This window comes from Homo sapiens, chromosome 4 (assembly GCF_000001405.40).
Source record: "Homo sapiens chromosome 4, GRCh38.p14 Primary Assembly".
Classification (NCBI taxonomy): domain Eukaryota; kingdom Metazoa; phylum Chordata; class Mammalia; order Primates; family Hominidae; genus Homo; species Homo sapiens.
In genome coordinates this window covers 116792794-116819764 of record NC_000004.12, presented here as the reverse complement: position 1 = coordinate 116819764, position 26971 = coordinate 116792794, and the positions used below count along the sequence as shown (strand labels likewise).

General features: G+C 35.1%; 1 long non-coding RNA gene across 4 annotated transcripts in view; it reads left to right on the top strand.

The window, feature by feature from the left end:
- LOC107986306 (uncharacterized) overlaps positions 1–26971 on the top strand; it is a 201750-nt gene that overhangs the window by 132935 nt on the left and 41844 nt on the right. For all 4 annotated transcript variants that reach the window (XR_001741797.2, XR_001741800.2, XR_001741798.2 and 1 more), the window contains 3 exons: positions 12505–12563; positions 13103–13216; positions 14402–14537. This is a non-coding gene — a long non-coding RNA (uncharacterized LOC107986306). The remainder of the gene's footprint in view (positions 1–12504; positions 12564–13102; positions 13217–14401; positions 14538–26971) is intronic.

Sequence of the window (26971 nt, the reverse complement as noted above, 5' to 3'; positions counted from 1 at the left end):
TTTCTTGCCCAGGACTGTCTTGGCTATGTGGGCTCTTTTTTGTTTCCATAGGAAGTTTAAAGTAGTTTTTTTCCAATTCCGTGAAGAAAGTCAATGGTAGCTTGATGGGGATAGTATTCAATCTATCAATTACTTACAGCATTATGGCCATTTTCACGATATTGATTCTTCCTATCCATGAGCATGGAATGTTTTTCTATTTTTTTGTGTCCTCTCTTATTTCCTTGAGCAGTGATTTGTAGTTCTCCTTGAAGAGGTCCTTCATGTCCCTTATAAGTTGGATTCCTAAGTATTTTATTCTCTTTGAAGCAATTGTGAATGGGAGTTCACTCATGATTTGGCTCTCTGTTTGTCTGTTATTGCTCTGTAGGAATGCTTGTGATTTTTACACATTGATTTTGTATCCTGAGACTTTGCTGAAGTTGCTTATCAGCTTAAGGAGGTTTTGGGCTGAGACAATGGGGTTTTCTAAATATACAATCATGTCATCTGCAAACAGAGAAAAATGACTTCCTCTTTTCCCATTTGAATATCCTTTATTTCTTTCTCTTGACTGATTGCCCTGGCCAGAAATTCCAATACTATGTTGAATAGGAGTGGTGAGAGAGGACATCCTTGTCTTGTGCCAGTTTTCAAAGTGAATGCTTCCAGTTTTTGCCCTTTCAGTATGATATTGGCTGTGGGTTTGTCATAAATAGCTCTTATTATTTTGAGATACATTCCATCGATATCTAGTTTATTGACAGTATTTAGCATGAAGGGGTGTTGAATTTTGTCAAAAACCTTTGCTGCATCTATTGAGATAATCATGTGTTTTTTTTTTCATTGGTTCTTTTTATGTGATGGATTACCCTTATTGATTTGCATAAATTGAGCCAACCTTGCATCCCAGGGATGAAGCCAACTTGATCATGGTGGATAAGCTTTTTGATGTTTTTGGTTTGGATTTTGTTTGCCAGTATTTTATTGAGGATTTTCACGTTGATGTTCATCAGGGATATTGGCCTGAAATTTTCATTTTTTGTTGTGTCTCTGACAGGTTTTGGAATCAGGATGATGCTGGCCTCATAAAATGAGTTAGGGAGGATTCTCTCTTTTTCTATTACTTGGAATAACTTCAGAAGAAATGATACCAGCTCCTCTTTGTACCTCTGGTAGAATTCAGCTGTGAGTCCATCTGGTCCTGGACTTCTTTTTGTTGGTAGGCTATTAATTATTGCCTCAATTTCAGAACTTCTTATTGGTTTATTCAGGTATTTGCCTTCTTCCTGGTTTAGACTTGGGAGGGTATATGTGTCCAGGACTTTATCCATTTCTTCTAGATTTTCAAGTTTATTTGCATGGAGGTGTTTGTTGTATTCTCTGATGGTAATTTGTATTTCTGTGGGATCCATGGTGATATCTCCTATATCATTTTTTGTTGCATCTATTTGATTATTCTCTCTTTTCTTCTTTATTAGTCTGGCTAGCAGTCTATTTTGTTGATCTTTTCAGAAACAAGCTCCTGGATTCATTAATTTTTGAAGGGTCTTTCTTGTCTCTATCTCCTCCAGTTCTGTTCTGATCTTAGTTCTTGTTTTCTGCTAGATTTTGAATTTATTTGCTGTTGCTTCTCTAGTTCTTTTAATTTTGATGTCAGGGTGTCAATTTTAGATCTTTCCCGCTTCCTCTTGTGAGCATTTAGTGCTATAAATTTCCCTCTACACACTGCTTTGTATGTGTCCCAGAGATTCTGGTATGTTGTGTCTTCATTCTCACTGGTTGCATAGAACATTTTTATCTCAGCCTTCATTTTTTTATTTACCCAGTAGTCATTCAGGAGAAGGTTGTTCAGTTTCCATGTAGTCATGTGGGTTTGAGTGTTTCTTAATCCTGAGTTCTAATTTGATTGCACTGTGGTCTGAGAGACTGTTATGATTTCCATTCTTTTGCATTTGCTGAGGAGTGTTTTACTTACAATTATGTGGTCAATTTTAGAGTAAATGTGATGAGGTCCTGAGAAGAATGTATATTCTGTTGATTTGGGGTGGAGAGTTCTGTAGATGTCTATTAGGTCGGCTTGGTCCAGAGCTGAGTTCAAGTCCTGATTATCCTTGTTAATTTTCTGTCTTGTTGATCTAATATTGACAGTGGGGTGTTAAAGTGTCCCACTATTACTGTATGGGAGTCTAAGTCTCTTTGGAGGTCTCTAAGAACTTGCTTTATAGATAGATCTGTGTGCTCCTGCATTAGGTACATATATATTTAGGATAGTTAGATCTTCTTGCTGCATTAATCCCTTTACCATTATGTAATGCCCTTCATTGTCTCTTTTGACCTTTGTTGGTTAAAGTCTGTTTCATCAGAGGTTAGGATTGTAACTCCTGTTTTTTTTTTTCCTTTCCATTTGCTTGGTAAATATTTCTCCATCCATTTATTTTGAGCCTATGTGTGTCTTTGCATATGAGATGGGTCTCCTGAATACAGCACACTAATGGGTATTGACTCTTTTTCCAATTTGCCAGTCTGTGTCTCTTATTTGGGGCATTTAGCCCATTTACATTTAAGGTTAATATTGTTATGTGTGAATTTGATCTTGTCATTATGATGCTAGCTGGTTGTTTTGCCCATTAGTTGATGCAGTTTCTTTATAGTGTCCATATTCTTTATAATTTGGTATGTTTTTGCAGTGGCTGGTACCAGTTGTTCCTTTCCATGTTTAATGCTTCCTTCAGGAGCTCTTGTAAGGCAGGCCTGGTGGTGACAAAATCTCTCAGCATTTGCTTGTCTGTAAAGGATTTTATTTCTCCTTCACTTATGAAGCTTAGCTTGGCTGGATATGAAATTCTGGGTTAAAAATTATTTCTTTAAGAATGTTGAATATTGGCTCCCACTCTCTTCTGGCTTGTAGAGTTTGTGCAGAGAGATCCACTGGTAGTCTGATGGGCTTCCCTTTCTGGATAACCCAACCTTTCTCCCTGGCTGCCCTTAATATTTTTTCCTTCATTTTAACCTTGGTGAATCTGACGATTATGTGCCTTGGGGTTGCTCTTCTCGAGGGGTATCTTTGTGGTCTTTTCTGTATTTCCTGAATTTGAATGTTGGCCTGTCTTGCTAGGTTGGAAAAGTTCTCCTGGATAATATTCTGAAGAGTGTTTTCCAACTTGGTTCAATTCTCTTTGTCACTTTCAGGTATACTAATCAAACATAGATTTGGTCTTTTCACATAATCCCATATTTCCTGGAGGCTTTATTTGTTCCTTTTTATTCTTTTTTCTCTAATCTTGTCTTCTCGCTTTATTTCATTATGTTGACCTTCAATCACTGTCGATTCAGCTATTAAAACTTGTGAATGCTTCACGAAGTTCTGGTGCGTGTTTTCCAGCTCCATCAGGTCACTTATGTTCTTCTCTACACTGGTTATTCTAGTTAGCAATTCGTCTAACCTATTTTCAAGGTTCTTAGCTTCCTTGCATTGGGTTAGAACATGCTCCTTTAGCTCACAGGAGTTTGTTATTACCCATTTTCTGAAGCCTACTTCTGTCAATTCATCAAACTCATTCTCCATCCAGTTTTGTTCTCTTACTGGCGAGGAGTTGTGATCCTTTGGAAGAGAAGAGGTGTTCTGGGTTTTGGAATTATCAGCCTTTTTGCACTGTTTTCTTCCCATCTTTGTGGATTTATCTACCTTTGGTCTTTGATGTTGGTGACCTTCAGATGGGGTCTTTGAGTGGAAATGCTATTTCCTTCTGTTTGTTAGTTTTCCTTCTGACAGTCAGTCCCCTCTTCTGCTGGTCTGCTGGAGTTTGCTGGAGGTCCACTCCTGACCCTGTTTGCCTGGGTATCACCAGCGGAGGCTGCAGAATAGCAAAGATTGCTGCCTGATCTTTCATCTGGAAAGTTTGTCCCAGAGGGGCATCTACCAGATGTCAGCCAGAGCTCTCTGGTATGAGGTGTCTGTTGACCCCTACCAGGAGGTGTCTTCCAGTCAGGATACATGGGATTCAGGGACCCACTTGAGGAGGCAGTCTGACCCTTAGCATAGCTCGAACGCTGTGCTGGGAGGTCCGCTGCTGTCTTCAGAGCTGTCAGGCAGGAATGATTAAGTCTGCTGAAGCTGCGCCCACAGCAGTGCCTTTCCCCAGGTGCTCTGTCCCAGAGAGATGGGGGTTTTATCTATAAGTCCCTGACTGAGGCTGCTGCCTTTTTTTCAGAGATGCCCTGCCCAGTGAAGAGAAATCCTGGAGTCTGACCACCGCAGCCTTGCTGAGCTGCAGTGGGCTCTGCCCAGTTCGAACTTCCCAGCGGTTTTTTCCACACTGTGAGCATAAAACTACTGACTCAATCCTCAGTAATGGCAGACACCCCTCCCCGCACCAAGCTCGAGAGTCACAGGTTGATCTCAGACTGCTGCTGTGAGGACAGCTAGAATTTCAAGCCAGTGGATCTTAGTTTGCTGGGCTCCTTGAGGGTGGGACCCACTGAGCCAGACCACTTGGCTCCCTGGCTTCAGCCCCCTTTCGAGGGGAGTGAATGGTTCTGTCTCACTTGTGTTCTAGGTGCCACTGGGGTATGCAGCTAGTTGGGTGTCTGCCCAAATGGCCGCCCATTTTTGTGCTTGAATCCCAGGGCCCTGGTGTGGTAGGCGTAGGAGGGAATCTCCTGGTTTTTGTGGGTTGTGAAGGCCACCGGACAAGTGCAGTATCTCTGCCAGAGTTCCTCAGGCTCATTCCCTCACAGCTTCCCTTGGGTACAGCAGAATATGCCACGTCCCCTTGCACTTCCCAGGTGAGGTGATGCCCCACCCTGCTTCGGATCACCCTCCGTGGGCTGCATCCACTGTCCAACCAGTCCCAGTGACATGAACTGGGTACATCAGTTGGAAATGCAGAAATCACCCTCCTTCTGCGTCTATCTCACTGGGAACTGCAGACCGGAGCTGTTCCTATGTTCCTATTCAGCCATCTTGTCAGCAATCTTAAAAACAAGTTTTAAATATTTTACCTGATAGCAATGCTCTTTCTTTGATAGCAATGCTTTTTCCTTTTAATTGATAACAATTCTTTTTTCACTGAAATAATTACTACTTTGTCAATGGTATATTTATTTTGCAATTGTTGACTTTCCTCTCCTTTGAGATATTATTTAAAGATTTCTTTAAAAAAATCCTTGCATTTTAAAGACAAAAAGATTTTCCAGGCTTTTCACTTTTGCTTGTTTTTATTAATGGAGAACAGTGCCTGTGTGGGCTAAATTGTGCCCTCCAAAGGCATATATAGGAGACCTAATCCTCCCTTATCTGGGAATGTGACCTTATTTGAAAATAGGATTTTTACAAATGTAATCAAGTTGAGATGGGGTCATATAGGATTAGACTGACCTCTAAATCCAATTACTGGGGACCTTATAAGAAATACATGTTAAGACACCGGGACACAGAAACAGGGAAAACAGCTGCGTAAAGACAGAGGCAGAAATTGGACTAACACAGCTGCAAATCAAGGAACTCCAAATAATGCTGGCAATCACCAGAAGCTTTAAAGATCAAGGAAGAATTCGTCCCTAGAGCCTTCAGAGAGAGATGATCCAGCTGACATCTTGATTTTAGATGTCTATGCTTCTGAATAAATGAGAGGATAAAGCTATGTTGTTTTAAGCAACCTTAAACAACTTGGTTTGTGGCAGTTTGTTGTTTTAGTCTTATGAAACTAATACAGTGCTATAGAAAAAATAGGGGCAAAAATATGTAAAGATACCTCACATGGTTGCATAAAGTGACATGGCTTGAGTTTCTTCTTTTAAAAGAAAAATAAGAAAAAATGTATCTATGTTCATGAGTTTTAATTTTACCTTAATTATTGATTTATTTTAATTCTATTTTGAAAATATATTATTCTTACAGCCTCACATACACCCTTTTTTGAAGCTGTTTTTTCCCTTTAACTTTAGTATCCTTCGTATTGTATTGCATTTGAGAAATTAAAATTAAAACAATAATAAGATATATTATATACTTATAAGAATGAGCCAGATCTAAAGCACTGATAACACCAAATTCTGGGGAGAATATGAAAGAACAAGGACTCTCATTCACTGCTGGTGGAATGTAAAATGATAACAGTCACTTTGGAAGACAGTTTGGCAGTTTCATTCAAAGTAAACATACTCTTACTATACGATCCAACAAATACCCTTCTTGATATTTACCTAAAGGAGTTGAAACCCATGTCCATACAAAAACCTGCACCAGAATATTTATGCCAGTTTCATTCATAATTTCCAAGCCATGAAATCAGCCAACATCTTTAGTATGTGAATGAATGGACAGACTGTGGTAAATGCAGACAAAGGGAACATTATTCAGTGCTGAAAATAAGTGATCTATCAAGCCAGGAATAGATGTAAAGGAAATTTTCATACTTATCATTGAGTGAAAGAAGCCAATCTGAAAAGTCTACACATTATATGATTCTAATTATATGACATTCCAGAATAGGCAAAATTATGAAGATATTAAAAAGATCAGTTTATGCCATGGGTAAATGGGGAGACAAGGATGAATAGGTAAAGCACAAAGAATTTTTAAGGTACTGAAACTATTCTGTATGATACTATCATGGTGGAACACATGTCATTACACATTTGTCAAAACCCATCCACAACGTATAACTTCAAGGATGAATCCTAATGCTAACTATGGACTCTGGGTGATAATGATTTGTACATTTAGGTTTATGAATTGTAACAGGTATTGCACTCCAGTGTGAGATGCTGATAGTGAGGGAAGCCGTATTCATGTTGAGGCAAAGCGTACTTGGGAACTCTCTGTACTTTCTGCTCAATTTTGCTGTCAACTTAAACCTACTCTTAACAATAGTCTGCTTAAAAGGAGGAAAAATCATTGGATTACATGCTTATAAATGTAAATTATAAATTTTCATCTCTCTGAAAATAATTCAGTAGAAATAGATTAGGTAAAAATCTCAATATGTATGCTAAAACCTTCTTCATTGTCTATGGAACATTGAACTATCTATTTACTTTTAGTAAATAATATTTGTTAAACAATGTTTATACTTGATTCGAAATATGATGTTAAAATTATAAATAACTTTAAGAATATTTCAAGTAAAAGCACAGTTTACAGTTTATATTTTATGGAAGAAATTTAATAGCAAAAAACCCAAACATGGACTTTTGGGTTCTACCATTCTGTTTTCAAGTATCAGCTATATCAGCATTCCCCAACCTTTTTGGCACCAGGGACTGGTTTTGTGGAAGACAATTTTTCCTAGGACTGGGGTAGGGGATGGTGTTCAGATGATTCAAGCACATTACATTTATTGTGCACTTTATTTCTATTATTATTACATTATAATATATAATGAAATACTTATACAACTCACCATAATGTAGAATCAGTGGGAACCCTGAGCTTGTTTTCCTGCAACTAGACAGTCTCATTTGGAGACGATGGGAGACAGTGGCAGATCCTCAGGCATTAGATTCTCATAAGAAAACCGCAAACTAGATCCCTTGCATGTGCAGTTCACAATAGGGTTCCGGCTCCTATAAGAACCGAATGCTGCTGCTGATGTGACAGGTGGGAGAACTCAGGTGGTAATATGAGCCATGGTGAGTTGCTGTAAATACAGAAAAAGCTCCTAACCGCCCCCTACCCCAACCCCCTGCCACCGGCCACTCACTTCTTGCTGTGCAGCCCATTTCCTAACAGGCCAGGGACCAGCACCAGCCCCCAGCCCCTGGCCCAGAGTTTGGGAACCCCTGGGCTATATCACTAACTGTTTGACTTTAGCAATATACTTAATCTGTCTGTTCAGCAGTTTTCTTATTTACAACCTGACTGACCTCACAAGTTTTAGGTGATGATCAGGCATAATGTTTGTAAAGCACTCTGTAATATCTGTCATATTAATTTAACATTAAAAATGTGGTATGGATTAGAATTTCTTTTACCCTCCACTTACCCTACTCATTTCACAAACTGATACTCTCCATTCTTTATGTAAAACAAACTATCACAAATTGCTGAATATGTGTTTTTATCATTCTACACTTTAATATTCTAATATTCTGACAGTTTTGTTTTCACCAAGTATTATGTTATATTTATTTCCACACATTCTGTGCCAGCTATATTTATGATTGTAGTTTATAATTAAGTAAAAATCACATAAACTTCTGAAACATGACTTTAAATAGGAAATGAGTGTTTCTGTAATAAATGAAATGTTTTGTAAAAATTATTTGAACATGTATATTATTAAGTGTGAACAAGACAATCAAAAATGACAGGATAGGTGTTTTTAAAAATCATGAAATATTCTCCATTAATACATTACATCTATTAATGAATCCACCCTGGAATAAAAAATCGTTGTCCACCACATCAAACAATGGACTCATAAATGAATATTTAAGTTAAATTAAAATGTTTAAGGTGTATTCATATCTATTTTTAGGATCTCCTGTTTTAAAAACAGTTCTTGGTTAATCACCTATGTGAATATAACTGATCACCCCCTTCTTGAACCACTACTTTAGGTGATTTCGTGGACATGACACTCTCCTGTTTCTTCTTTTATCTTACTGGCCCCACCATCTGAGCATCCAGTTTTGGCTCTTCCACACTAAGTCCCAGACCAGAGTGTGAACTATCAACCATTTGCTGGGGACTGTCTCCAACTCTAGCCCTGACTCTCTCTTAAAGTCTAAACCAGTTATATCTAATTCTGACACTTTGATTTGCATTTATAATACTCATCTCAAATTTAACATGTCCAAAATTGACTTCTTCCCTGTGCTCACCCTGCTTCAGACAAACTGCTATTTTTGTACTTCCTTAAACACACGCTGTTTTTTCTTTCTTTTAAAATCTTAGCAACATCTTAATATCTCTTGCAGAATAATTTTATTAAGATCTTCTCAAGGTTCATCTAATGACTTTATTTGGTTTTCTCTCTCGATTTCAATTTTTGTAGAGCTCTTTTCTAAGTACCTTGTTTTAACTGGGGCCTCCTGAGATACAGCACCCTCCATGCCCTTATGCAGCTGTATATTTATTTACAGCACTTTTCACTGCTTGTAATCGCAGTTTGCATTTATACAATTTATGTTTCACATTCACTCTGCTCAACTAAATTATGCTTCATAAGGGGAGAGTCTATTTATTCACTGTTGTCATCTTCATAACAACATAACCTAAAACATAGTAGTCCCTTTCATTTTTTAATGAATAAATTCCTTTAGTTTTTACAAGTATTCTATTTGCCATTTTTATCTTACTGGTACTCTTTTTTTAGCTGAATATTTTTCATCAATTAATATACTGTGAGTAAATCTAACTGTGGTAAGCAAAATGGCCTTTCAAAGATGTCTACTCCCCAATCCAGTAACCTGTAAATATGTTGCTTTACATGGCAGATGTGATTAGGATTAAGGACCTTGAGATGGAGTATTTATTCTGAATTTTCCTATTGGACCCAGTCTAATTACCTAAATCATAAAAGGATAAAACTTTTCCTGGCTGCAATCCAAGGGAAATTTGAGTATAAAAGAATGGTCATAAAGATGCTACATTGCTGACTTCGACAATGGAGCAAGGGAACATAAGTTTAGGAATAGGGGCAGCTTCAGAAAACTGAGAGAGACAATGAAATGGATTCTCCCCCAGAAAGAAATACAGGCCTGGAAATACCTTAATTTTAATACAGTGAGACCCATGTTGGACTTCTTTATCTATAGATCTGCCTGGCCAGGGCAATCAGGCAGGAGAAGGAAATAAAGGGAATTCAATTAGGAAAAGAGGAAGTCAAATTGTCCCTGTTTGCAGATGACATGATTGTATATCTAGAAAACCCCATCGTCTCAGCCCAAAATCTCCTTAAGCTGATAGGCTACTTCAGCAAAGTCTCAGGATACAAAATCAATGTGCAAAAATCACAAGCATTCTTATACACCAATAATAGAAAAACAGAGAGCCAAATCATGAGTGAACTCCCATTCACAATTGCTTCACAGAGAATAAAATACCTAGGAATCCAACTTACAAGGGATGTGAAGGACCTCTGCAAGGAGAACTACAAACCACTGCTCAGTGAAATAAAAGAGGATACAAACAAATGGAAGAACATTCCATGCTCATGGGTAGGAAAAAATCAATATCATGAAAATGGCCATACTGCCCAAGGTAATTTATAGATTCAGTGCCGTCCCCATCAAGCTACAAATGACTTTCTTCACAGAATTGGAAAAAACTACTTTAAAGTTCATATGGAACCAAAAAAGAGCCTGCATTGCCAAGTCAATCCTAAGCCAAAAGAACAAAGCTGGAGGCATCATGCTACCTGACTTCCAACTATACTACAAGGCTACAGTAACCAAAACAGCATGGTACTGGTACCAAAACAGAGATATAGACCAATGGAACAGAACAGAGTCCTCAGAAATAATGCCACATATCTGCAAGTATCTGATCTTTGACAAACCTGAGAAAAACAAGCAATGGGGAAAGGATTCCCTATTTAATAAATGGTGTTGGGAAAACTGACTAGCCATATATAGAAAGCTGAAACTGGATCCCTTCCTTACACCTTATACAAAAATTAATTCAAGATGGATTAAAGACTTACATGCTAGACCTAAAACCATAAAAACCCTAGAAGAAAACCTAGGCAATACCATTCAGGACATAGGCATGGGCAAGGACTTCATGTCTAAAACACCAAAAGCAGTGGCAACAAAAGCCAAAATTGACAAATGGGATCTAATTAAACTAAAGAGCTTCCGCACAGCAAAAGAAACTACCGTCAGAGTGAACAGGCAACCTACAGAATGGGAGAAAATTTTTGCAATCTACTCATTTGACAAAGGGCTAATATCCAGAATCTACAATGAACTCAAACAAATTTATAAGAAAAAAACAAACAGCCCCATCAACAAGTGGGTGAAGGATATGAACAGACACTTCTCAAAAGAAGACATTTATGCAGCCAAAAGACACATGAAAAAATGCTCATCATCACTGGCCATCAGAGAAATGCAAATCAAAACCACAATGAGATACCATCTCACACCAGTTAGAATGGTGATCATTGAAAAGTCAGGAAACAACAGGTGCTGGAGACGATGTGGAGAAATAGGAACACTTTTACACTGTTGGTGGGACTGTAAACTAGTTCAACCATTGTGGAAGTCAGTGTGGCGATTCCTCAGGGATCTAGAACTAGAAATACCATTTGACCCAGCCATCCCATTACTGGGTATATACCCAAAGGATTATAAAACATGCTGCTATAAAGACATATGCACAAATATGTTTATTGAGGCACTAGTCACGATAGGAGAGACTTGGAACCAACCCAAATGTCCAACAATGATAGACTGGATTAAGAAAATGTGGCACATATACACCATGGAATACTATGCAGCCATAAAAAATGATGACTTCCTGTCCTTTGTAGGGACATGGATGAAGCTGGAAACCATCATTCTCAGCAAACTATCGCAAGGACAAAAAACCAAACACCGCATGTCCTCACTCATAGGTGGCAACTGAACAATGAGAACACATGGACACAGGAAGGGGAACATCACACTCTGGGGACTGTTGTGGGGTGGGGGGAGGGGGGAGGGATAGCATTAGGAGATATATCTAATGTAAATGACGAGTTAATGGGTGCAGCACACCAACATGGCACATGTAGACATATGTAACAAACCTGCATGTTCTGCACATGTACCCTAAAACTTATAGTATAATAAAAAAGGATATCAATTTGTAGTGTTTAAGGTATCAACCTTGAGGCAATTTGTTAATGTAGCAATAGAACATAAATGTACGAATTGTATTAAACATTGTTATACAACAGTTTTGTAGTCTCTGAATATTATGAATATCCCTCAGTTTAAAAACCAGTTGGCTTATATTGTTTATAGTTTTAACCATTGTTAAGTAATAGATGAATATGATAGCATATACAGAATAAAAGGATGCCAGGACATAAGCAGCTCATGGGATGTGTTTCTCAGGAAATGTGATTTGATTGACTCTGGAAGATGGTCCACTTAGATATGATAGTATATACCTAAAACTCAAATTTTTTTGAGTTAAACATTTTTTAAAATTTAAAAACATGAATGTCATACAATATTATGATATTCATGTATTAAAGATTTATTTAAATATCTAATAAGAGCATCAACAGGATAACAAAGTTGATTATCCATAGATTATTATTGTTTATTTCTGAAGTCTTCTGAGTGCTCTGAGAAGTTTTCTGAAGTCTCCTTAGGTTTAGAAAATGAAAGGAGGAGAATAGCATTAAGATTTCTCATTTTGGATAAGATGAATTACAAATACTATTTAATTAATAGTGCTAAAGTAATATACATTTGAAACGTTGGATTTTCTGAATTTTATTTTAAAAATGAACAATAATTCTGTTCAATTATTAAATAAGCTTTTTTGTTTTTTATTTATTTATTTTTTTTGGCGGAGAGAAGAACTGGCAAGTAACAAGCCAAGCAAGAATTTCAATGGAAAATTACAGAGATACTAACAGGTGACTTATAAATGGGAGTTTGAAACACAACCATTTGTAAAGTAATAGTTGCTTCTCTGCATAGAGATAAATGTCTATCAGTCATAAAGATATAGGCTTTTATATATAAAATTATTATTTAGATTTTAATAATTATTTTCTTCCTACATAACCTATCCCAGATTTCAGTATTTATATGATAACCAAAGGGGCTTAAGTCCTTTTGTGTTTTCACAGACTTTATCATATTAGATATACATCTGTTATTTCTGTTTCACTTACTTTCTATATTGCCTTAAATATGCAATAGCTCTAATGCTTGTTTTTATCTTCTCATTATTTAAACATTTTTATTATGTTTCAAATATGTGTGTATATAATCTAATCTTAGAAAGTGGTTTTTGAATTAGCACCAACTTTCAGAAATAGGGATAGTTTTACTGGTAGAATTTAGTTATAATAGCCACAATGCTAAGATTATGGATAAATAACAAAGATTGCAAAATGTTTGATTTTTATTAATTTTACATTTCCAATGTCTTTTGTTTTTCTGCTTCCAGGTTTGAGTACTTATGAATACAAAATAAATAAACGGATTTAAATTACTTTATTATTACAATGCAGAAATGAGGAAGTGTAATAGCCAGCTAGTCTTGGAACATGGCACTGTGAATGTAAGTACAATCCAATAAGAACAGTCATGAGTTTCAAACAGCAATTGGGCTCACATTGCATTTACTCCATAAAAATTATTAAAGGCATTGTCTAAAAAGGTATGGGGTCTCTGACTAACCACGAGTTAGAAAAAGTAAACGATATGAATATAAACAAAAGATGTCAAGGTTTAATAGGAATATTATTCAGCATTACATGTAATGTTAATCCGATTTCTACATTTCTGGGATTTGTGCAGTCCATTTTAGAAGCTGCTATCTCATAATGCACTAAGAGATGTTATTTAACATGCCATTTCTAAAAGGTATGAGATGACTGACACTTTACAATTTAAAGTTCTCCCTTCTATAACTGGTACATTAGCCTAGAAACTGAATTATTTTAATCAATACAAATGTGCTACTTGAAAAAAATACATATTAAGCATTTGAAATGCCATATATTGTAGCACAAGAAAAGAGTATTATCTTCAAGTAAGTTTCATTATTAAAAGCCTCAAATATACTTTTATCATTTATATAAAAGATAAACTGTGGTATACAATACTGCAAAACATACATAAATATACTAATATGTTTTGTTATACTTAGCATTAAAGTTAACTGTCTTTGTGATCTGCATGCCTGATGATTGAGATTAGTCATTATCTAAAATAGCAGCACAAAATCTTGTCCTCAGAAAATGCTTGAAATATTTAGATGTAGAAATAGAATTGCTTTAAGAAAGAGACTAGCACTTCAATTACAATTGTACAGTATAATATGTAGAAAGTATTTTTGGATTAATAATCATTTCAATACTTAGAGCAATGGTAAGGTGTAAACTTTTGTTTTGTTTTGTTTTACTTTTTTGTTTATTAGCTTGTATTTTAAGTTCAGGGGTATATGTGAAGGTTCGTTACATAGGTAAACTTGTATCATATGGGTTTGCTGTACGATTATTTCATCACTCAGATATTAAGCCTAGTACTCATTAGTTATTTTTCCTGATTCTCTCCCTCCTCTCACACCATGTATCAATAATTTTTAAACTGTTGTAGTAGTTTTATCATTATCATGAGTTTTATTATGGTAAATTAATTATTATTCTAAATTTGTGGAAATTCTATTCAGAATTTCCACTTTGAATCTTAAGGTTTTAAAATGTATTGCATTCTTAAATCTATCCTGAATTTTTTTTTCTAGGAAATGATTAATTGCATATTCATCTGGTCTCAGATACAGGACATTCTCTTGCATAGGTTAAATGTATTAATGGTAGAGAATTATGCAAAAAATACTCATTTTCTCCAATACCAGAACATACAGGAAGCAAGTAAAGGTAATTTCACAATTCATCTAATTTCTTGTACTACTAAAGAAAAGTAAAACTTGAGGATCAGTAGTGGCCATGGTATGGTTTGACTCTGTCCCCTCCAAAATCTAGTGTTGAAACTTAATGACCATTGTGATGGTATTAAGAGGTGATTGAGTCATAAGAGCTCCTTCCCTCATGATAGGATTAAGTCCCTCATAAAAGAGGGCTCATGCAACATTAGATTTTCTTGTGTCTGAAGCTATGTGAAGCCAGATGAGGACACAGTGTTCTTGTCTTCCGGAAAATATAGCAAGAAGGCATAATGTTGGAAGCAGAGAGTAGCCTTTGCCAGACAACAGATCTTACTGGTGCCTAGATCTTGGACATCCAGCCTCCAGAACTGTGAAAAAAATAAATTTATGTTCTTCATAAATTATTTGGTCTCAGATATTGTGTTATAATAGCACAAAATGGAGTAAGGCACCATTAGTTTTTTATTGGTGTGGAAACTGTAGCTGAATAGGTTTGCTGATTTATTTCCAGAAACATACAACTAATGGAAGTTTTCATTCTTAACGAAACAGTCTTTCCCCTGTATTATTTTCTACATTCTCAATCCAGAGGTATAATGATAACAGGATCACACTTCTAGGACATAGATCTTAAATGCATGTTTTGCTCAAAACTGCATTTTCAAAAATTAAAAAAAAACGATGTTTTGCATCTTCTAAGATCTAAGAATATTATCTGTGAAAATAAATTGCTTATATGCTTGACAATTTAGTACCACATTGTAAAACCATCTTATAGACTAGTGATAAAAAAGAACAATTGATAAGTAAAACATTTTAGTACACTGGGCACGAACACTTAAGTAGAACATAAACACTACTAAAAAAGGCACACTAACTATAATAGAAATTTAAAGACAGTAGATTACATATAGAAAGAAGTATTGTTTTTGAAAAAATTAAGTCCTTACATTTTACAGTTTATAAATGAAGTGATACCTGATGCTCCTTTACATATCAAATATGCAGTATATAATTTGAAGCAAAAATACATTACAGTGTATTCTAATTTAGTCTCTTCAATTTAATTTCATGATTATAACTTTGCTTCTATCTTAATTTAGTATTTTAATTAAATCTGTAAGTATTTTTCTTTCTAAAAGATACCCTTCATTCTATAATATTGTATAACTAATCCCAAATGAAGTAATTTTCCATCACAATCAACAATATATAGTTATAATTTTAGTAGGTTCTAAATGATTTAATGTTATTTTTCAACTTACACCTTGAGAAGAATTGAATAAAACAGGCTTTGTAGGCTCTGTTTATTTATAACATTTAAATATATATTATACTTTCTGTTAGTTATAATATTTATAAATGAAAATGAGACAAAATAAAAAGTTCATGAATAGTTGGGAAAGTATTCTATTTCAGATAGCTTGGTTAGTGAAGATGTCTGACAGTTAAGCAGAGACTCTTGCTCACTGCTGTGTTCCCGCTGCATAAAACAATTCTGGGATGAAGTAATTATGTTTGTTGATGACTACATGGTATTCAGGGAAATCTCAAAATAGTGGAAGCAATTTGACTTGGCAGAATAATTTTTCTTGTATTATTTACTAGACATTCGATATATCAGAAATATTTTCTAATACATTAAATCACACTTACGCTTCATTACAAAAGAACTGAGATATAAGAAAGTTCTGAGTGATGCACAATATCAAACATGACTCAGCATGGAGAAGGGAACTATTGTTTTTCTCCAGGTTTGTAAAGTTTTATAGTCACAAAATAGTGATACCTAGAAACTTGGGTTACAATGTAAGCAAGAAGATTTAAAATTGCAAGAGAAAAGAGCTCATGTAGAAAACAGTAATGTACAAACATTTAGTCATAAATGAATAGATTGCATTTTTATACTGTATGTCATATAGTGTATGAAATGCTTAAAATAGATATAATGAAATAATCCCTTTAATGTATGTCATGTGTAATGTATCAGTAGTATAACAAATGCCAGTACATATATAAAGTTACTAGCTAATATATATTCACTGCATAGTCTAGTTCAGTTATTTTTGAAGGATTCAAAGGTATTAATCCATTTTTTATTGCCTATATAACTCCATGATCTAGGTACTATTATTAGCCACATTTTATGATTGAGGAAACTGAGGTTAAAACTGAGATTGATAACTTGTCCAAAGTCACACAACTAAGTAATGGCACTATCATGAGTCAAACTGAGGCAGTCAGGTTCCAGATCCTGAGGTCTTGATGCTATTGTTATATCATCTTGCGTACATAGCCTCAATATGATATATGCACATATAAGTACAAATTTAACTCTCATGTGTGCTACATATCACTTGATTTTGTTAAATTGTCTTTTACTTTAGCTATTACTTTAGACAATATATTTTAGAAGTAGCAACAAATTAATGATTGCCAATTAACTTTGAAAATATGGCATCACATACTTCATTTTGGATAGTCAATAAATATAAAAATCATGAGCTTGCTTACATTTCTTTAAAATCTAATTTTTATTCACATCAATATACCTTTTTGGTTTTCTCTATTAAAGGTGTTATTAAAATAAAACAGATCTATAATTTAGATATATATTATCCTTTCTGAGTCATGTTGCCATTAATCCAGCCTATATTGCATATTTTATCAAGTAAGAAGTGAACTTATCACAATAAGATCTTTAAATATTGACATACATAGTATTGAAAATAATTTCTAAAAGTTAATAGCTCGTTCTTAAATCAAACTGTCTCCGTGGATCCATCCTCAAAATATTAAAATCAAGGAATAGTATAAACAACATCATCCATAGTTTATCACTTCAACCTCACTAGGAGACAGAGAATACCAAAAACTTCAAATTGTCCCTATGTGAAGAAAAGACCTCCAAATTCCAAGGTAATTCCCACTATCTATTCCTATAAGGCAGAAGGGAAAGAGAAGGCTTATGGCACTCGTTAACAAAAAGAAAGGGAGGGGTGTTTGGAGAGTAAATTGAGAAGAACAGAAAAATTTTTGTCTAAAACAAAAAAGTTCAAGACTAATTGCTGAAATTAGTATAATTGTGACCTTGTAGTGTTCAAGAAAAGTGCTTAAAAGTGTGCTGGACTGTAGGGGCAGTTGGATGGAAGCACTGATTATGGGGAATAATCATGTAAATGGCAGTGAAGGAAATGAAGGCACAAATAGGGAAAAATTAAGGACCCCGCAGAAATGTAAAAGACTCAGAAACTAGGCTGATCCAACCATTTCTCTACCACCAAAGCTGTCCAATGAAAAATTGTACTCTGCTATACTGAAAAAAAATGATCCTCTTAAACATCATAATTTGTCCCCCAAAGGGATAGGGAGAGAAAGCAAACAAACGAACAAAGAAAAACCCCTCCAAAAAACCTCCATAGCAGCGTACTGTAAGAAGAAATCAGAAAATATAAGTTGTAATATTTGATATGATTTGGCGCTGTGTCCTCACCCAAATCTCCCTCAAATTGTAATCCCCATGTGTCCAGGGAGAGACCTGAATCCCCACATGTGGAGGGAGAGAGGTGATTGGATCACAGGGGCAGTGTCCCCCATGCTGTTCTCAGGAGAGTGAGTGAGTTCTCACGAGATGTGATGATTTTATAAGTGTTTGGAAGTTCCTTCTTTGCTCTTTTCTCTCCTGCCACCTTGTGAAGAAGGTGCTAGCTTCCCCTTCGCCTTCCACCATGATTGTAAGTTTCCTGAGGCTTCGCAAGCCGTGTGGAACCGTGAGTAAATTAAGCTTCTTTATAAATTACCCAGTCTCAGGTATTTATACAGTATGAAAACAGACTAATACAACATTTCAGCTGATATAAACATCCAGAATAAGAAATTTAAAACATAAAAACAGAAATGAACAAAAATAGAAATGCATTGAATTGGGTTCAAACTCAGCAAAGAAACTGAAGTAAAAAAAATCCATCTTAAAAATAAAAAAAAATTACAAAGAAAACAGATAGGAGAAATAAGAAAAGTGAGGAAAACAAATAAGAAATTGAAATACATGCTGTCTATCCAAAGTATGTATACAGGGATATAATATGGGGAGTTAATACTTCACTCATAATTTCACTTTCAATAAACATCTGCAGTTCTAGACTTCTTTTTTCCTTATGCTATGTTTGTCTTATAGTGTTTACTAAAATGTATTTTCATACGTATATCTCATAATATGCATTTTTATAACTTCCTTATTTAAATTATTATTTTCATCTTACAAAGTATCAGTGTGCATTGGATTTGGGGGAAATAGTAATTATCACAGATCATGTGAGAAAAAATATGATTCATATACTTAAAATGCATATATAAAACATCAGTACATATTTCATAAGGATTGTCAAAGTTACACATCAAATAATATATTGGCTGCATTGTGACAAAAGTGAGTGTTGTGGTTAAAATAAGTATATAAACACACATATTTTATTTTGTGGTTAAAATAATTATATAAATACACCCCATGAATGGGGTCCTGTACTAACTGATAATAATAAAGCTTCATTAGCTGAATAATGAGATGACCTAGTCCCTCTGCATTCAAGATTTCAAGAAAATAAAATATGTACAACATAAAAAAATATACCAACTGTAACAACCTAAAATATGCTCTAAGCCTTTATTTGTATTTTGAGAACATCTGGAAAATGATCCTAACCCTTTGTCTGCAGCAGCATTAAAAAAAAATTTAATTTTTCCTTCCATCTATTTTCAACACACTTGGTAATTCTGCCTATGCTTCTGTCTTTGTCTGCATCCCTGTCTGAAATGACAAAAATGCAGAAATATTTTCTTTCAATATTCTAATATCAGGACTGTATTCCCCCTTTGTCTTTCTACTGATGTGATAGTACATAATTGCTTTTGCACTTGGAGTTCAGCCTTCCCCCCTTTTCTTTCAACTCTGAAATTCAGTCCCTTTATTTCCTTCGTCTTTTACCTTATTAAAACAATGTTATAATACCTCAAACTCTTATCTAACACAAAGTATACTCGTTGGAAGATTTGGAAAATGGTCCTCAGGCAGAGGTATGTCAGGGTGACAGGAAAGGTGGAGCTGCAAAGAAAAGTGGGTGCAAACAGGGGAGAATTAATGAGGCAAGCTGGAAAAAGGAAGATTGCTGTAAATATTCACAGTGATGAGGGGTTTATTCTGTCATACATATAAGACAATTTCAACCTCATCAATGTTGAAATATTTAAAAACTATTTTTCATATATCAAATAGCTGAAACTAAATAAATCTAATAGCATCCAAAATTCACATTTTATATAAGTCTTGATATACATTGATTTAGTGATACTCAGTGTAAAAATGAGGGTTTTTTGTTTGTTTCTTTGTTTTGAAACAAGGTCTAGCTGCACAGGCTGGAGTGCAGTAGTGGTGTAATCTCAGTTCACCGCAGCCCCAAATGGCTAGGCTCAGGAGATCTGATTCTCCCACAGCCTTCCAAATAGCTTGAGACTACAGGCATGCACCATTGTGTCTGGCTGTTTTTATTTTTATTGTTTTATTATTATTATTATTATTATTATTATTATTTTTCTTGGAGCGATGCAGTTTCGCCGTGTTGCCCAGGTTGCTCTCAAACTCCTGAGCTCAAGCGATCCACCCTCCTGTGCCTCCTGAAGTGTTGGGAATACAAGCATGAACGACTGTGCCCAGCCAAAATGAGCTGCTTACTACATCAAGAACTTCATGTTGTTTTAAAATGAGGAAGATACATATAATGAATGTACAAAAGATAGCTTTCATTCACTGGTGAATAAAAATTAATTCCTTTCAACAATCTCTAAGATTTTAAAGCATTATCCTAACCTGTATGAGACCATTCACCTTAAATACTAAGCAGTAAAATCAGTCAAAATAATGAACCCAGCAATCCCTGTGTGTGTGTATGTGTGTGGATGCGGGGTGGGGGTGTAGGTCTGTATTATTATTATTTTTTTAATAACTGATAGGAAAAGTCTTAAGAGAAGGCCAAATTGGCTTCTGGAGATTGAAAGAGTGGTCATGGTGCCATGGACTCTTCTATAAAAAATCTCAGCCACCTGGAGAGGCCACAGTCCTTGGTCTTCATCCAGGGAGGGATAAAGAGATGGTATCTGGTCTCTCAGTGAAGGAATTTGTGCTTTGTCCCTCAGGGGGTTCTCACTTTCAGAATCTAAGGAGAATCTCAATTTGGTTAATTTCTTCTTCAAAGTTAGTATAGAAATGGCCCCGGTCACGAATTCCCAGTTGGAAATGACTAAATTTCCTTTCTCTAACATCATTTCCTTGTTTTATTAAAGTATTTCCAAGAATAGTTATAAGAATAAGTATTCACAAGGCATTGTTAAAATCATTGATTATTTAAAACATCCTGAGGCATGCACATTAATATTTCACTACTCTTGCACTCTCCATACCAAAAGCCAATATGTTTTATAAATCTAATTGAAATATAAGTAACATTTATAATAGTCAACACTCATTCCATGCTTGCTATGTATACATTGTATGAATATATTCAATATTAATGTCAACTTCATGAAGTAGGTACTGTCATCACTTGCATTTCTTGGATGAAGAATGAACACACAAGGATTGTATGCATATTGTTCAAGGCCATGGGGCTGATAAGAAGCAATTTCTAATCCAGAGAATGTGACTCCAGAGTCGATGATGTTTGGACTCACCACACAGTATTGCCTGAAGCAACACAACACAAATGCCATAAAATAAACGAGTCATATTTGAAAAAAAAACATTTTTAAAGAATACTTAAAATTTTTATTAAAAAATTAAATCGAAGTTATAATAGAATTTGTAATCAAATTTTAGTTAATGTTTACACACGATGTAATAACACTTCAAAAAAGCAATTGAAATAACTTTTGCTTTTCTGTTAAATGAGTTACATACCCCTAATTAAAAGCATGTCTTTGATACAACAATACAATTAAAAACATGTAATGATACATTATATATTCTGTTGGCAAGTCAAAATCAATATTCTATGTAGAGTAACAAAAATTATACAAAATATTCTGCTAATGTAAATATAGCAAGATGCTGGGTCATAGTGTGTTTACAGTCTACTCGGTAAGAATCCTATCACCTTGGCATTTTCCTGCAAGCTGCCTGATTGTGTGCTACATGAGCACAATTAAAATGCAGAAACCCATGGTGGCAGACTTGTGTGCTCATTGATGGTTTATTTATTGATGCAATTACTTATTTTTTTCAGGGAATATTAGTTAGAGCCTTAAATGTTAAGGTAACTATGCTAAACAATCGGGATACAGCATAGATAATGGTATCTGGAGTCTCTGCTCTCACAGAGCTTAGTTCTAGGAGAGGTGAGAGCCAAGTAAACAATATTAGCACAATGCCACATGCAATTATTCATTGCATCAACAGAGAAGACTCTCTTGGAGCACTTAGGAAGGACACCTCATCTGTTGGAGTAGGAAGGACTTCCTGGAGGTAACTTCCACATTCTGACATAAGGAATGAGGAAAAACTCGCTAGGGAAAACAGAAGAGGTAGTAGAAAAAGTGAACAGCTAGTACAAAGGCCTAGAATTAGTAGAAACCTTAGTGACCTGGAAGAAATAAAATAATATTCTGTATATTTATTTAGTTTGTGATGGAGAATAATAAAAGATAATATTGGGGAAGTGAGGCAAGAGCAGACTTGAAGAACTGTTTAACCCAAGTTCAAATTTGATTTTTATCCTAAAGGCGGGTGATGAAAATAATTAATATATTTTTAGAAAGAGTCTAATATCTTCAGATTTGTATTTTATAAATATCACTATCGTTGCAAATTCTATAGTTTTTCAAGTGAAAGATTATTAGACATAAGCAGATACTATATAATATAGTCTATTTAATCATTCCACACATCTTTGTGAAGTTCTAGGTAGTCATATAAGTGAGAAAAACACATAGAAAACCTTGCTTTCTTTTAGCTTACATTCCAGTAACAGGAAAATAAATATAATAAAATGATACATTACATATTCTGTTGGAAAGCCACAAGCACTGTCAAAAAAAAACTAACGAGCAGCCAGAGCAAAGTCACAGGGAGTGAGCGTGCCTAGATTGTTCAAGGAACAACAAGCAGGAGCCTGGTGGTGGGGGAGCAAGTGGAGGAGAAAGATAAGACTTTGTAGCCCCCTGCAAAGACTTCACCTTTTGCTCTTGGTACAAAAGGACCTCATTGCAGAATTTTAAGCCCAGGAGTAACATAGTGTGTACTCTTTTAAACATTTACTTTAAAAGAATCACTGAGTACTATTTTGAGGGGGGAAAAAAACTGTAAGAAGGCAGGTGTAGCAGCAGAAAGCCTGGTTAAGAAGCTATTATACTGACCCCTGTCAGAGTAGATGCAGAGTGATAACAACAGAGGTAATTAACAATGATTAAATAACACATATATTTTCAAGTTAGAGACATCAGGAATTTCTGATGTATTGGACAATGGTATGACACACAATAGTCAAGGATGGCCCCCATTGCCTGGGCAACTGAAAAATTGCTGATACCAAATAAATTGTAATCCCAAATCAGTACGGTGGCATGTGGATAAGTTTTGGGGAAAAAACTTGGGGTTACTTTTGTATATGATAAATTTGGATGTCACTTCACATTGTAAGACATGTCAAGTAGTCAGTTTGATATGAGTATGTAGTTCTAGTGAGGCATCTTGGCAGAGATATAAATTTGGGAGTTTTGTCAGCACACGTATTAAAGCTATGGGACTGGATGAGATTAACTAAGGAAATAAAGGGAAAAAAAGACTGAGACAAAAGACACTTCAGCATTAAAAGATCAGAGATATCCAGGGTTCCTCTGTCAGTAGTCACCTTTAAAAGGCAGGGAGGAAATGGAAGGGCAGGTGTGGTCCAGAGGCTTTGCCTGCTGAGTGTGGTGCTCTGAGGTGTGTGAGGTGCAGTCTGTTGCATCACCAGCAACTCACCACCAGGAAGCTCCTCATTAGAGGATTTCTGTAAAAGTGCCCTATGGAGTTGCTGCAAAATCTCGGGAAGTACTAGGTTTCTGCATTATATGAAAAGTATCTGGAGATTGCAGGTATAAGATTTATAGGTTAGATCTTGCAAATAAAGAATACGAAAATCCAGTCAAATGTCTTAATGAATCCCTTTTCTCAGAGAATGTTAGCCGAGATAACTGAAAATAGCCAAAATGACTGAAATATTTTACATTTCCTGAAAGACTTTTGCAAATGGAAACAATTTCACCAAGTGCTGTATTCTTAACTAATGGGGATTTATTAAGTCTGACAAGCATCAGGAATTGCATTGCAAACAGAACGTCTCAGCATTTTAGCAGTGACTTGTTGAAATATTGAGAAATATTTACCTCAAATTTTTATGGGTAGAACATATCTCTGAATAATATCATGAAGACTAGTGAACTGAATAAATTTTATGTTTTATCTTCAAATATAAATATCAAGAAGAAATACATTTTTAAATAAAAGTATATAAATACCCATTAAATGATGTTCAGTGGCATACAGAAATAGCACGTTAGGAGTGGGTACAATGAAAACATTCTGAGAACATTATTTTATTGTTGAAGAAGCTTTGAAAAACTTGGTGAGAAAAAGCAAGGTATTCAAACTCTAATTTATGAAAAAATTCCAGTCTATACTGAAAAAAATTTGTTTTCATTTTCACCATGCTATCTATTTTGTTGAAAGACTTTGATGTGTAAATGGAGGGAATTCAAAAGATTCCATGATTACAATGCTACATGTTCAGCTTGTTATTTAGGGCAATGAGAGAAAGTCACAGGAATTCCTTTTCTAAGACAACATTTAGTTTTTAAATTCTTCATTAACTTAGACAGGTTTTCATCTAATAAATGGCTATGTCACTTTGAACATGTTAATTATACAGATAAATCATCACAGCATGCTACATGGAAATGCCTTATCATATTAGCAGATTAGAAAAAAACTATACATATATTTTCAAAACAATATGCACAAAAGCACTAAAAAGCTGGGAGAAGGGGAGAATCCATAAATGAGACTGAGATAGAGTGAACAGTTAGACAAAGTGAAGCCACGTGGAGAAATGGATCAAAGAGGAGGGAGTGCTGCTTTTAGCTCAAACAATATGTGAACTGAAAATTGACTATTGAATTTTCCAAAATAGAGGTTATTGCTGCCCTTGAAAAGAGAAGTTTTTATAGAATGATGAAGTAAATTGGGTTTCAGAAGGCATGGGAGGAGTGGAATGTGAGGCAGAGAGTATAAAGGACTCACCCACAAAGTTTTGCTATCTAGTGTAGCCAGAAAAAAATGGACAGTAATTGACAGAAGATTATCAGGAGAAACTTACATGCTTGCACGAAAATGATGGGGTGATAGGGTAGAGAGTGAAAATTTGATATTGTAGACAAGAGAGTAGAGAAATTTCAAAGTAATATGTTTAGGCAGACAAGAAAGGATTGGGTCTCATTCACAAGAAGAGATATTTTATCACCACATCATGGAAATTTCATCCAAGGTCAAAGGCAGAGGTAGTGTTTGCCTATGTTGGTAATTGGATGGTTGTGGTTATGAGAGTCTGCAAGATTTCGTGGATGCAACATTCTTAATGAAGTGGGAAGCAAAGCCATCAGGTAATAACAGAGCTGGAGCAGTTGATGTGGTTTGAGGAGAGAGGAGAAAGTATAAAATAACCACATAAGAGGGTGGTATGGTTTGAGGACTGACAAGTTCTTCTATGGATGCTGCACAGTTTAAAAGGTCCATTTAATGTTTGTAGCCATGAATTTAAGACAAAATTCTTTAGTGTGGCTTCATGCTTTTCTCCTACTGCATTCTGCTATTAATAAAAGGGTACAGACATAGAATACGGACTATAGCAGTGGTAGTATTTATCAAAATAACTCCACAGATATGTAATTTACAGTACTTGGTAAATATTGTTTAGATATTGGGCCTGAGGAAAAAAACGGGGTCAAATGTAATACCAACACTAGTAGCTTTGGCTGCATGTGAATCAATTCACATTACTAAGAAACAGAAGGGGCCAGGGTTGAGAAAACACACAAATAAACTTATGCAGTTTAGATATTTGCCTATTTTACCTATGGATTTCTAGTGTAGATATGCTTAGGCTCTAGGGTCTGGGGTTCTGGAAAGCAAGGTGCACTGGAGATGTAAGTTAGAGAATAATCACCACATAGAACATGATTAATCCTGTAAAAAGAAGTATATGTTAGAAGAGGTCCATCAGTAATTTCAAGAAAAGAAGACACAATTAATCATACCAGACCACAAACACTTATGAAATGGGAAGATGGTGAGCAGCTGGCAGAGGACCTTAAAAAGAGAACCAAAGAGAGAGAAATAAAATTCTGAAGACACAGGAAGTAATTGGTTCAAAAATTTAGAATGTGGTAGGGAAGTGGTAGGGAAAAATCTGCATCAATGGATGGCGCAACATGTCCCAAAGTGCATAGAATATTCTTGGTCATTAGCACATTTGAACTTTACCCAAAGTGCATATTTTTAATTCCAGGGGGACCAATATTTAGGAGCCATATCAGTATCCAAATGCTATTATGAGAATACATTAAATAAAAACTCAGACACCTAAAATTTTGTTATTAATGCAGTATCAAGAGTTTCAGTTTTTGAGTTATGATTTTCTTTAAAAGTTTAAGTGGATTTAACTTGATAATTTTAATAACTGAAGTTTCATAAAAAAAGAATACCTTGTAACCTTGAACACAAATGTGGGACAATGACTAAAATTTTACTGTAATGAATGATATTCAATAATTGATCAGTAAATAATTTGAGGTTACAAGCTAAATCCATATTTATTTTTGTGAAATTAAGATAATATCATTTAAAAACAGATTTCTGGAATTTAAACTGAAACAATGAAATTTAGTCCCAAATTTTGAACTCCTTCAAGGTAGAGTATAATAAACGGCCATTCAATTTCAAGCATCTACACGTTTTTCAAAAAGTTATAACTATCATTGGCAACATTTTTCAAAGAAGCATAAAATTAGTCTCCTCTCAGTTTCGATTTTCATTTGAGAAGTTTAAATCCAAACTAAGCTTTAAAGCAAAAAGTAAATAGTTTCTGAAATACTCCTTTTGAGAAAGCTCAGAAATATCTTATTTCTTTTGCTTCTTATTTTCTCACGTCAGCTACAGTAAAAATATGTTCTTTCAAATAGTTCACAGTTGCATGGGAAAGCCCGTTGTATTTATAGGTTAAATGAATGAAAATTTGGCTGTCCTTTATATTAGGCAGGCTTCAACTGTTCTTTGTATATTAGGATGAAGTGCTTTACCTCTCAAGTGAAGGCTCCCAGGGGTTACAGTCATTTATGCCTTTA